The sequence below is a fragment of the Homo sapiens genome, chromosome 2, assembly GCF_000001405.40.
Source record: "Homo sapiens chromosome 2, GRCh38.p14 Primary Assembly".
Classification (NCBI taxonomy): Eukaryota; Metazoa; Chordata; class Mammalia; order Primates; family Hominidae; genus Homo; species Homo sapiens.
Genome location: NC_000002.12, coordinates 113746968 through 113758651, shown reverse-complemented (window position 1 = coordinate 113758651; position 11684 = coordinate 113746968). Strand labels below are relative to the sequence as shown.

The 11684-nt window shown below is 42.0% G+C and overlaps 1 protein-coding gene across 11 annotated transcripts in view, besides 3 other annotated features; it reads left to right on the top strand.

Moving 5' to 3' along the window:
• Positions 1235-1284: an enhancer, noted in NCBI's record as "active region_16427". NCBI's record gives its function as "activates an Ori minimal core promoter by ATAC-STARR-seq in GM12878 lymphoblastoid cells {active_cell/tissue: GM12878}" and the evidence as "EXISTENCE:reporter gene assay evidence [ECO:0000049][PMID:35858748]".
• Positions 1465-1644: an enhancer, noted in NCBI's record as "active region_16426". NCBI's record gives its function as "activates an Ori minimal core promoter by ATAC-STARR-seq in GM12878 lymphoblastoid cells {active_cell/tissue: GM12878}" and the evidence as "EXISTENCE:reporter gene assay evidence [ECO:0000049][PMID:35858748]".
• Positions 1855-2084: a silencer, noted in NCBI's record as "silent region_11886". NCBI's record gives its function as "represses an Ori minimal core promoter by ATAC-STARR-seq in GM12878 lymphoblastoid cells {active_cell/tissue: GM12878}" and the evidence as "EXISTENCE:reporter gene assay evidence [ECO:0000049][PMID:35858748]".
• Positions 2010-11684, top strand: part of SLC35F5 (solute carrier family 35 member F5) — a 53961-nt gene continuing 44286 nt past the window's right edge. For 5 of the 11 annotated variants that reach the window (NR_104470.3, XM_047445924.1, XM_047445925.1 and 2 more), the window contains exons 1-4: positions 2010-2797; positions 3108-3198; positions 3346-3487; positions 8084-8227. Coding sequence is in view for 10 of the 11 variants with exons in the window: in XM_047445924.1 (XP_047301880.1) it covers positions 2776-2797; positions 3108-3198; positions 3346-3487; positions 8084-8227 (399 nt within the window). In the remaining variant the exon portion in view is untranslated. The remainder of the gene's footprint in view (positions 2798-3107; positions 3199-3345; positions 3488-8083; positions 8228-11684) is intronic. The other 6 variants (XM_047445923.1, XM_017005027.2, NM_001330316.2 and 3 more) reach the window with 2 other exon arrangements.

The following is an 11684-nucleotide window of genomic DNA, read 5'->3' as shown; positions in this document are numbered from 1 at the left end:
TGGTCTGGAAACAGGTGGTAATAATGGTAACTTAACAAAGTACTATCATTTACAATATTTTAATTCAGAAACCCATATTTATAGAAGAAACTAAGGCACAGTAGAGAGTGGAATGATCCTCAGGATTACATAACAAGTTGTAGTCAGATAAAGCATTGGTATCCAGCTTTCCTGACTCTTAGATTCTGAGAGAGATTTATAATGCTCTTATTTTTTAAGACTATACATCAAATATGTAGCATAAAGAATTCTTAGGCGTATTATGGGCTGATACCCTAAAGAATGCTAATGAAATAAAAAACAAACTGGTGCCAGACTAATGTGATTAATGTCTGCAACCAAATTTCCCCTAAGTAGTAATACCAAGTAGTTGGTTAAGGATTTATTTATTTATTTATTTATTTTGAGACGGAGTCTCGCTCTGTTGCCCAGGCTGGAGTGCAGTGGCGCGATCTCGGCTCACTGCAAGCTCCGCCTCCCGGGTTCACGCCATTCTCCTGCCTCAGCCTCCCGAGTAGCTGGGACTACAGGCGCCCGCCACCACCCCCGCCTAATTTTTTGCATTTTTTTAATAGAGACGGGGTTTCACCGTGTTAGCCAGGATGGTCTCCATCTCCTGACCTCGTGATCCACCTGCCTCGGCCTCCCAAAGTGCTGGGATTACAGGCATGAGCCACCGCGACCGGCCTGGTTGGTTTTTTTTTTTACTCTGCACAATAGGTTTCTGAATGACTTATTAGAGGTGTTTGATGCTGATAGTTTGAAACTGATTCGATCAATTAAAAAATGTTCATTGGTATTGTTTTATTAGTTGCTAGAATATGCATTCAACTTCACTGAAACGAGACTTAAAAGGTAAGAGGTACACTACATCGCGACTATAGGAGTAAGAAAATTTAATTTCTTCACGCCATCTGACCAAGATGTTAAATTACTGAACCCTTTAGTCTTGTTTTTGTTTTGTAGATAGAAATCAAGATGCTGGACAAACCTTTCTCATGGAATAGTCAAAATATTTAAGGAACAAATCTATACAGTTTAATAACTGCCAACATTTGGCAGGGCTCATGCCTGTAATTCCAGCACTTCGGGAGGTCGAGGCGGGCGGATCACTTAAGACTAGGAGTACGAGACCAGCCTGGCCAACATGGCGAAACCCTGTCTCTACTAAAAAATATAAAAATTAGCCGGGCATTGGTGGCTTGCGCCTGTAGTCCCGGCTACACTGGAAGCTGAGGCTGGAGAATCGCTTGAGCCCGGGAAGCAGAGGTTGCAGTGAGCTGTGATTGTGCCACTGCACTGCAGCCTGGGTGGCAGAGAAAGACCCTGTCTCAAAACAAACGAACGAACAAAAAATTGCTGACGTCTGTGAGGTTCTTATTATGTGCCATGAATTGATCTACGTCCTTCACATATGTAAACTCATGCAATCCTAGCATACACACAAAAAACCAATGTGGCAGGTACTATCATTATCGTAGACAAGGAAACCGAGGACCAGAGAAGTTGAAGTAGCTTGGCCTAGGATGTAGGTTGTAACTCCTAGAGCTGAGATCTTGTTTATATACAAAAGGTTTCAAGAATCAAAAGTACTCTAAGCCACTTTGCGTTTCGGCTGTCATCGAGAAAGGGATATCCGAAGTTTCAGGTTCGCAGTTTGTGAAACGGAACGGCCAGCTTTCGTTCTAAGGCGGGCGGAGGTTTAGCCACTCCCTCGTCCTTTGCTCTGCCCCAGACACCCACGCTCGCTTTCCTCTTCTTCCTCCACCTCGCCCTACTTCCCTTCTTCCTATCTTCTCTCTTCTTTCGCCTCGCCGCCGCGAGCCCTCGCTCGGCGACCAGAGCCTCGCATTACTTCCCCTAGCTCCGCCAAGCCTCGCTGCATACGCGACCGCGCGCAGTCCGCCGTCGCGCCCCTATGACGTCACCCGCGCGCCACCGCTTCCGGGCTGGGGACTGGGGGCGGGGCCGCGCGGAGGGCAAGCCGGGGGCGGGGCCGGGGCCAGAGCAGATCTCCGGGCCTCCGCGGCCATAGCTGACTGTGCCGTCCCTTCCCCTCACCCGCTCCACGCCCTCCTGGGCCGAGTGGAGTTGGGTGGTGTCGGGAGCCTCTCCCTGAGGGGCACCGCGTCTTCAGGAGCTGGGCCTCCAGTGCGGCGCGATGTCAGGCGCGGTGACAGCTCTGTGAGTCCGAGGCCGCGGCCGTGGCGCTGGGCGGCTGCGGGGCCTGACCGGTCCGCTCATGGTGCCGCCACGACGCCATCGCGGGGCAGGAAGGCCAGGTAGGCAGGCAGGGAAGGGCCCCGACATCACCGGAGCCCAAACCGGGACGGAGTGCCCACCAGCAGCACCACCTCCTGCCCTCGGTGGCAGCAGGAGCGCCTTGACCGAAACCGTGAAGGTCTCTAGGGGCGGAGGGAGCGGGAGCTGACAGGGGCGCCGGAGCCCTGCGCCCACCGCTGGCAATTGAGGAAGCCGTGCGTGCGCCCTCGCCTCGGCTCCCCGGGGAGGCGTCGCTGCCTTAACTGTCTTCCCCGCTCCAAAACAGAAGGATGATTTCTTTTCCCAGCTGTTTCTTTTAAAATGACTGGATGTTTTGATAGAGGTGGGTGGAGGAGCATGGAGAATCCTTTTCTTTTACCACTTGAAGAGATTGGAAAGGTGCCTTCAAGACCCACAGCAAATCACTTACTCTCCGATAACCAAATTCCACTCCAGCAGATCAGGGACAGAAAAGACACTTTTAGAAACAGTGTCTAGACGCTGTCCCCAGGGATGGATTCCTCTGGATGGAGAGGTGAATGGAGTTCCGTATTTGTGAAACTCAGAGAAGCTATTTTCTGGTAGTTAACTGTTCTTAAATGTGCCGTATGTTGTATATTACTCCCCCTCCCTGCCCGCCCCGTATCGCGTATCTCTCTAAGTATAATCTGAAGCGTGCAGTGGATACCATGAAAGTACTGAGAAAGGTGGCAAGTATGTTTAACACATTTTGGTCCTTTTCATTGATTTGCTTTGAGTTTGAAGATGAAGAGTAAAAAACGATGTGATGAATCTTACCTTGAGTTATTCACGTTTTCATAGCATAATTTCATGGTTGTTTTTAGGGGTGCTGAGTTCTTCACCTCCTTTTAGACTGAGATCTGCCAAGTTTTCCGGCATTGCTCTTGAGGATCTCAGAAGGGCTCTTAAGACAAGGTAGATTCCACGTTTATCCTCTATGTAACTTTCACACTGAACATTAGCTAACAAAAGTCAAATGTTTCTGTTATACTAATGTTCTCATTTTTAATGGTTGTTTTTCTAAAATCATCTCTAATGTGATCTGTATTTTCTAAAAAACAGACTGCAAATGGTGTGTGTATTTGTCATGAACCGAATGAATTCCCAGAACAGTGGTTTCACTCAGCGCAGGCGAATGGCTCTTGGGATTGTTATTCTTCTGCTTGTTGATGTGATATGGGTTGCTTCCTCTGAACTTACTTCGGTATGTACCTTTGGTCCAGGAATGATGTTACATTACAGCCACAATGTTAACTCTTAACCTGTAGTAACTCTAGCCGTTACAATCTCCTGCTTTCTAAAAGCAGTATCTTAAATACTATTGAATTTTTAAAAAACGTTGAATTATTGCCACTTGAAGTTAAAACTGAAAGGATGATCCTTTTTATTGTTTCATACAGTTTTCTTGTATCTTTTAGGGAGGGTTACTTAGAGAGACTATGCATATTTTCTTACATTTGAAAGTGTAACTCGTGGCTTTTTTTCTAAATTCAAATTCTTTCTGTAAATATTATTTTCTAGTGAAATAACTGTCAGGATGCAAAACAATGTCACCATTTAGTAGAAGGTTCAGAGTGCTTTTGGACAAATGAGTAAAAATAATGAGTTTTCATGTATAGGTCACTGTTACAATGCCCATGAGTGGTTGCATCCACATTTATGCTTGCTGACTCAAACCTTATTATAAGATGCATGGTATACCTCATAATTTTCCTTCAGTTAAATTGTATCTTGACAGTTTCCTTCAGTTAAATTGTGTCTTTATTGATGACCTATTGGTAGTAATGTGGCATTTTGAATTTGCAAGCTAGTTTTTCTTTCTACTTGTATACTTTATTCTGCTTGGTTAATGATCCCTATAAAAAGCAACTTTTATTTTCAGAAGTCTGCATTTCAACTTCTACGTTGCAATTTTAAGGCGAATATACAGCAGGAAACTGGCATTTATAAAATGAACCTAATTTTCAAAAGAAGCAGTTTAATACTCAGGTCTCATATTGTAGCTAAGTAAATATTGACATTGGCATTGTATCCTATGAGTATATAAGTTTTTTTTTTTTTTTCTTTTTTTTTTGAGATGGAGTCTTGCTCTGCTCTGTCGCCCAGGCTGGAGTGCAATGGTGCGATCTCGGCTCACTGCAACCTCCGCCTCCCGGGTTCAAGGGATTCTCCTGCCCCGGCCCCCTGAATAGCTGGGATTACAGGCACACCCCACCACGCCAGGCTAATTTTTGTATTTTTAGTAGAGACGGGGTTTCACCATGTTGGTCAGAATGGTCTCAAACTCCTGACCTCATGATCCGCCCGCCTCGGCCTCCCAAAGTGCTGGGATTACAGACGTGAGCCACCTCACCTGGCCAAGTATATAAGTTTTTATGCTTTTCAGAATTAATCTCTGGAATCTAATAGACCATATATTTTTTGCTTTAAAACTCTTCTCTAACCTTCTTTTAGATGAACATTTTGTACTTCTACCTCAAAGAAATGTCTTTGATATTGACAGGGAACTAAACCTATCTTTTAAATTTTATTTTCATTTAAAATAAATAGTTTGTTTTTATATATTAGTTAATAAAATTTAGGACAAAATAGCACCTGGTTAAATTATCATTTAACCATATCTAAGCAAAGTAGAAAGGAAAAAACAATTTGTTGTTTGTGGTAATCATTTCACAATGTATACATATATCGAAACACCATGTTGTAAAAAATACATATATTTGGTGTTTGTCAGTTGTACTTTGATGAAACTGGAGGAAAAAACTCAACTTACCTTAATTTTTTTAAAGTAAAATATTTTAGTAAGAGGATGTTTTACAATCTCATTATTCAAGAATGTATGTAATGTCTCTACTTCTTCAACCAGTTATGCTCATTAAACTTTGGAGATAGGGCCAGGCGCAGTGGCTCACGCCTGAAATCCCAACACTTTGGGAAGATCAGGTGGGCAGATCACCTGAAGTCAGGAGTTCGAGACCAGCCTGGCCAACATGGTGAAACTCAGTCTCTACTAAATACAAAAATTAGCTGGGTGTGGTGGTGGGTGCCTGTAATCCCAGTTACTCTGGAGGCTGAGGCAGGAGAATCGCTTGAACCTGGGAGGCAGAGGTTGCAGTGAGCTGAGATCATGCCATTGCACTCCAGCTTGGGCAACAAGAGTGAAACTCCTTAGCAAAAAAAAAAAAAAAAAAAAAAAAAAAGAAAAACAAACTTTGGAGATAAAGTGTGTATTTCAAAAAGAAAATCAGTCTTTTTATTATGGTTATTTTCTAACATATACAAAGTAGAATATTATAATGAGTCTCCATGTATTCGTTACTTAGCTTTAGCACTTAACCAAATTTGCCAACCTTATCAACCTCTCCTCAAAACTTTTTTTCCTGGAGCATTTTAAAGCATATTTTAAAGCATATGTCACATGCCATTTCACCCACGATTTCTTTCCTATTTACTTTAAACTGAAAAGGACTTTTAATTTTCTTAAACATAATCACTATGCCATTAACATAGTTAACACAATTAACTGTAATTCCTTAAGATCATCTGATATCCAGTCTATGTTCAGTTTTCTCCAGTCCAGTTTTCTCCGGTGGTGTCAAGCACTTTTTTTTCCCATTAAGTTTGTTAGGATCTAAATGAAGATCACGCATTGCATTTGTGGTATCTTTTACTCCTTAACTGTATCTTCCCTCCTTTTTTTTAATACCATAAATTTGTTGGAGAAACTGGGTCATTTTTCCTATTGGATGTATCACACATTCTGGATTTGGCTGATTGTTTCCTTGGGGTATCATTTAACTTGTTATTTTTCTCTTATTTCTTGTAAAGTGGTAGTTAGGTGTAAAGTCTTGATTTAGGTTTAGTTTTCAGGAAAGAATACTTTGGGGTACTGAGTACTTCCTGTAACATTCCAGCATGACATACATAATGACTGCAAGTCTCACTTTAGATGATGCCAATTTAAGTACTATAAAATTCCTCACCAACTTTTAGGTAATAGTTGAATATCCACGTTTAAGTTGTCTAGATAAAGTATTTCATTAGGGGTTGCAAAATGGTGATTTTTTTTTGAGTTATTCCCTCTGTATTTATTAGCTGGAATTCTTTAAGTCTTTTTAATATGGCCTTATTAATCTTTTTTTTTTTTTTTTGAGATGGGACAGAGTTTTGCTCTTGTCACCCAGGCTGGAGTGCAATGGCACTATCTCGGCTCACTGCAATCTCCGCCTCCCAGGTTCAAGCAATTCTCCTGCCTCAGCCTTCTGAGTAGCTGGGATTATAGGCACCTGCCACCACGCCCAGCTAATTTTTGTATTTTTAGTACAGACTGGGTTTCACTGTGTTGGCCAGGCTGGTCTTGAACTCCTGACCTCAAGTGATCCACCCGCCTTGGCCTTCCAAAGTGTTGGGATTACAGGCGTGAGCCACTGTGCCTGACATCTTATTAATCTTTAACATTTTCTTTCCACCACAAGATGCCCTGGGCCCATCTTGTACATTTTCTGCTCCATACCTGGATTTGGCCATTTATTATAGGAGCCATTGTTTCTTTTTTGGGGACAGAGTCTCACGCTGTTGTCCAGTATGGAATGGTGCAGTGGCATGATCTTGGCTCACTATAACCTCTGACTCCTGGGTTCAAGTGATTCTCCTGCCTCAGCCTCCAGAGTACCTGGGATTACAGGCAGGTGCCCCCATGTACTGCAAATTTTTGTATTTTTTGTAGAGACAGGGTTTCGCCATGTTGGCCAGGCTGGGCTTAAACTCCTGACTTCAAGTGATCCACCCGCCTCGGCCTCCCAAAGTGCTGGGATTATAGGTGTGAGCCACTGTGCCTGGCCAGAGCCATTGTTTCTTTTAGTGTAAAATGGCGTGGACCACCATTTACGTCCTAGAGTTGCACTTTCCTCCTGGATTGTCATTTTTTTCTATGCCTTTTTAGTGGATATAACTAGGAATTTTCTTAGGATATAAAAAATTGTGAGTTTATATTCACAATACACTAAAAACAAACAAACAAACAAAAAAACAGTCTCCCTTGGGAAACGTCCATAACCTTGAAATTTGTCAGTCTCCTTTTGGTGCTCCGTGGCATCCTGAACCCGTCTCTTGTTACTTGGCACATGATGCTGTATTCTCTTCATATATATGTCTCCTCTATTAGATGTTAAGCTCCCCAAGGGCAGGATAACTTCCCTTCCTTCTCTTTTGTTTTTCTTTATGAGATAGGGTCTTTGCTCTGTTGCCCAGGCTGGAGTGCAGTGGCTTGACCATGGCTCACTGCAGCCTCAACCTTTGTGAACTCAGGGGATCCTCCCGCTTCAGCCTCCCAAGTAGCTGGGACTGAGGGTGCACGCCACCACCCTGGCTAATTTTTCTATTTTGCTGCAGAGACGGAGTTTTGCCATGTTGCCCAGGCAGGTCTTGAAATTCTGGGCTCAAGCAATCTTCCTGTCTTGGTCTCCCCACGTGCTGGGATTATTGGCTTGGGCCTCCGCGCCTGGCCCTGTCTTACTTTTCTTTAGCTCCTAGTGTAGGCACTGTTTCGTGGTAGGTCCCAACGAATGGTAAACCCAACTTCTTTTAGCAGCTGTTGCTGCTTTGTTTGGTGGTGCCCTTCTGTGTGCAAGGCCGATACAGTCTTCAGAAATGGATCTAAAATACTTTTGTAATCGCTTTGACTTTTTCTTTCCAAGTGAACTTCTGAAGAGTTAAAAATCATGTAGTGACTTTATTTTGGAGATGAGTAATAAGGTTTAAGGTCATCTCAGAGTTGTCTGTGTAACTTTTTCCTCTACAGTATGTTTTTACCCAGTACAACAAACCATTCTTCAGCACCTTTGCAAAAACATCTATGTTTGTTTTGTACCTTTTGGGCTTTATTATTTGGAAGCCATGGAGACAACAGTGTACAAGAGGACTTCGCGGAAAGCATGCTGCTTTTGTAAGTTTTTAATTTTAACTGTCTGTTAGGAAGGGGGTATAGATACGTTTTTTCAAAGTTTAAAGATGTATTAGTTTCTTTAAGGACGGTCATATTTTAAGTTGTTCAGTTAAGTGAGTGAAGATGATATAAGAAAACCGGCTCTTGTCCAAAATTTTAAATTTATTCTTCTAATTAAGTAGTATCAGAATAGTTTGTGAGAACTCTTACTCCATGACATTTTCTGAGTTGTTAAAAATTCTTGAATTAGCCCAAATCAATTAATGTGGCAATGAAGATGAAAGTAAGGAATAAGAAGAATATCAAGAGTCTGTCATTTGCAGATTGGATGAGTATCCTCTAATTGTTAGGTGGATTCTGGAAACAAAAAAATTCAAAGTTTTATGTATTAAAATGAAAATATCATATTTCCAGACGTATTTTAGATGTTTGGCTAATCAAATTATATTCTTTGATTGATGTAATATAATATAATATGCTCATTCATAGTGTTGAAAGAAATATGAGTTTATATAATGATATATCTTCCTTATAGAAGTAGAAATTTTGAATTATTGAGAATGAAGAATTATAAAACTTTCTTATGTTAATCCTTTTAAAAAATTCTTTATTATGTTAGAATATATATAATGTGAAATACACCATTTTAACTATTTTTAAATGTATAGTAGTGGCATTAAGCGCATTGACTTTGCTCTATAACCATCAGCTCCAGAATTTTTCATCATCCTAGACCGAAAGTCTGTACACAGACTTAAAAATAACCACTATTCATTCTTCCCTCCAAACCCTAGTAACCACTGTATTATTTTCTGTCTCTCTTAATCTTTTTCTTTCGTGTGTATTATTTTTTGTGGGTTAAAATAGTATTGTTTCTTGTCTTATCTAATAAGTACATCCTTTTTAAAATTATTAATTTATTTTTAGAGACAGGGTCTCACTTTGTTGCCCAGGCTGGAGTGCAGTGGTTTAATCACAGTTTGCTGTAACCTTGAATCCTGGGCTCAAGCAGTCTACTTGCCTCAGTCTCTCAAGTAGCTGAGTACGTAGCCATGCAACACCACACCCCACTGATTTTTGTATTTTTTGTAGAGACAGTGTCTCACTATGTTGCTCAGGCTGATCTCAAAGTCTGGCCTCAGGCATTCCACCGTCTTGGCCTCCCAAAGTGCTGGGGTTACAGACCTGAGCCACTGCACCCAGCAGTCAGGGGCTTTCAATAATTGTTTTTTAAAGCTGGGCTTGGTGGCTCATGCCTGTAATCCCAGCATGCTGGGAGGCCGAGGCAGGCAGATCTCTTGAGCCTCAGGAGTTCAAGACCTGCCTGGGCCATAGTGGCTCATGCCTCTTATCCCAGCACTTTGGGAGGCCGAGGGGGCGAATCATGAGGTCAGGAGATCGAGACCATCCTTGGCCAACATGGTGAAACCCCGTCTCTACTAAAAATACAAAAATTAACTGGGCATGGTGGCGCACTCCTGTAGTCCCAGCTGCTCGGGAGGCTGAGGCAGGAGAGTTGCATGGACTTGGGAGTCAGAGGCTGCAGTGAGCTGAGATCGCACCACTGCACTCCAGCCTGGTGACAGTGAAACTCCGTCTCAAAATAAATAAATAAAAAACAATTAAAAACAATTTTTTAAATGTAGGTGAAGCCTGCAAATGTATACTCATGTACACACACAAATTTAACTTACCAAAAATATGAGTATGTATTTTTTTACTTTGCAAAAGTAATACATATACATTGTAGAAATTATATATACATCATAATATCACATGTAGGGATAAATTGTATGTGTATTAGTATAGGTATATTGTTGAAAATTTAGACGCTACAGAGAAACAAAAAGAGGAAAATAAATGCTACCATTCAAGGAATAACCACTGATAATATTTTGACATATATCCTGCCATTCTTTTCATGTGTGTATTTTTTATTTTTTACAAAAATGGAATTGGGCCTGGTGCGGTATCTCATGCCTATTATTCCAGCACTTTAGGAAGCTGAGGTGAGTGGATCACTTGAGGCCAGGAGTTTGAGACCAGCCTGGCTAACATGGTGAAACTCTGTCTCAACTAAAAATACAAAAAATTAGCCAGTCGTGGTGGTGCACTCCTGTAATCCCGGTTAGTCGGGAGGCTGAGGCATGAGAATTGCTTGAAGTCGGGAGGTGAAGGTTACAGTGAGCAGAGACTGAACCACTACACTCCAGTCTGGGTGACAGAGTGAGACTGTCTCAAAAAAATAAAATAAAAATGAAAATGGAATTCTTTTCAAGGTTAATCCATATTGTAGTGTTTCTGTACTTCATTCATTTTTTGTTGCTGTTGTTGAGACAGAGTCTCACTCTCTTGTCCAGGCTAGAGTGCAGTGGCGCGATCTCAGCTCACTGAAACCTCCACCTCCTGGGTTCAAGTGATTCTCCTGCCTCAGCCTCCTAAGTAGCTGGGATTACAGGTGCCCGCCACCATGCCCGGCTAATTTTTGTATTTGTAGTAGAGACGGGGTTTCACCATGTTGGTCAGGCTGGTCTTGAACTCCTGACCCCAAGCGATCCACCCCTCTCGGCCTCCCAGAGTGCTGGGATTACAGGCGTGAGCCACTGCGCCCGGCCAAATAATGTCATTTTTAAAGCTTGTAATTCTTATTGCTAAATTACTGTCTGTAATGGTTGCATTAATTCTTATCTCTGTTAGCAGTATATAATTAAACCCTTGTTAAACACTCATTAAATCTCATGATTGAACCCTTACCAACATCCCATCATTTGCCAACTGGACAGGTGAACAATGATGATAGCTTGTTTAATGTGCATGTTTTTGGTTACTTTTTCATATATTTTTTGGGAAGTAGAACTCTTGTGTGTGTTGTCTGTGTCTTATTTTTCTACATTGACTCCCTTTTTATTACTGATTTGTTAGGGTTCTTTTACAGCATGGGCTCTAGTGTTTGAATCTTGTTCTATCACTCTCCAGTTTTTGATCTTGGGCAAGTTTTTTAACCTCTTCAGACTTTCAGCAGAGATAATGATAGACTAGCTGTGGATATGAAATGAAATCATATTTACATAGCATTAGCGCAGTGATTCTTAAAGTGTGATCCAGACCTTGAAATTCATTCAGGGTTTTTTTTTTTTTGAGACGGAATCTTGCTCTGTGGCCCAGGTTGGAGTGCAGTGGCGTGATCTCGGCTCACTGCAACCTCCACGTCCTGGTTCAAGCGATTCCCCTGCCTCAGCCTCCTGAGTAGCTGGAATTACAGGCATGCGCCACTGTGCCTAGCTAATTTTTGCATTTTTTAGTAGAGATGGGGTTTCACCACGTTGGCCAGGCTGGTCTCAAACTCCTGACCTCAAGTGATCAACCCACCTCAGCCTCCCAAACTGCCGGGATTACAGGTGTGAGCCACCGTGCTTGGTCTCATTCAGAGGTTTTTGAGGTCAAAATTAATTTCATA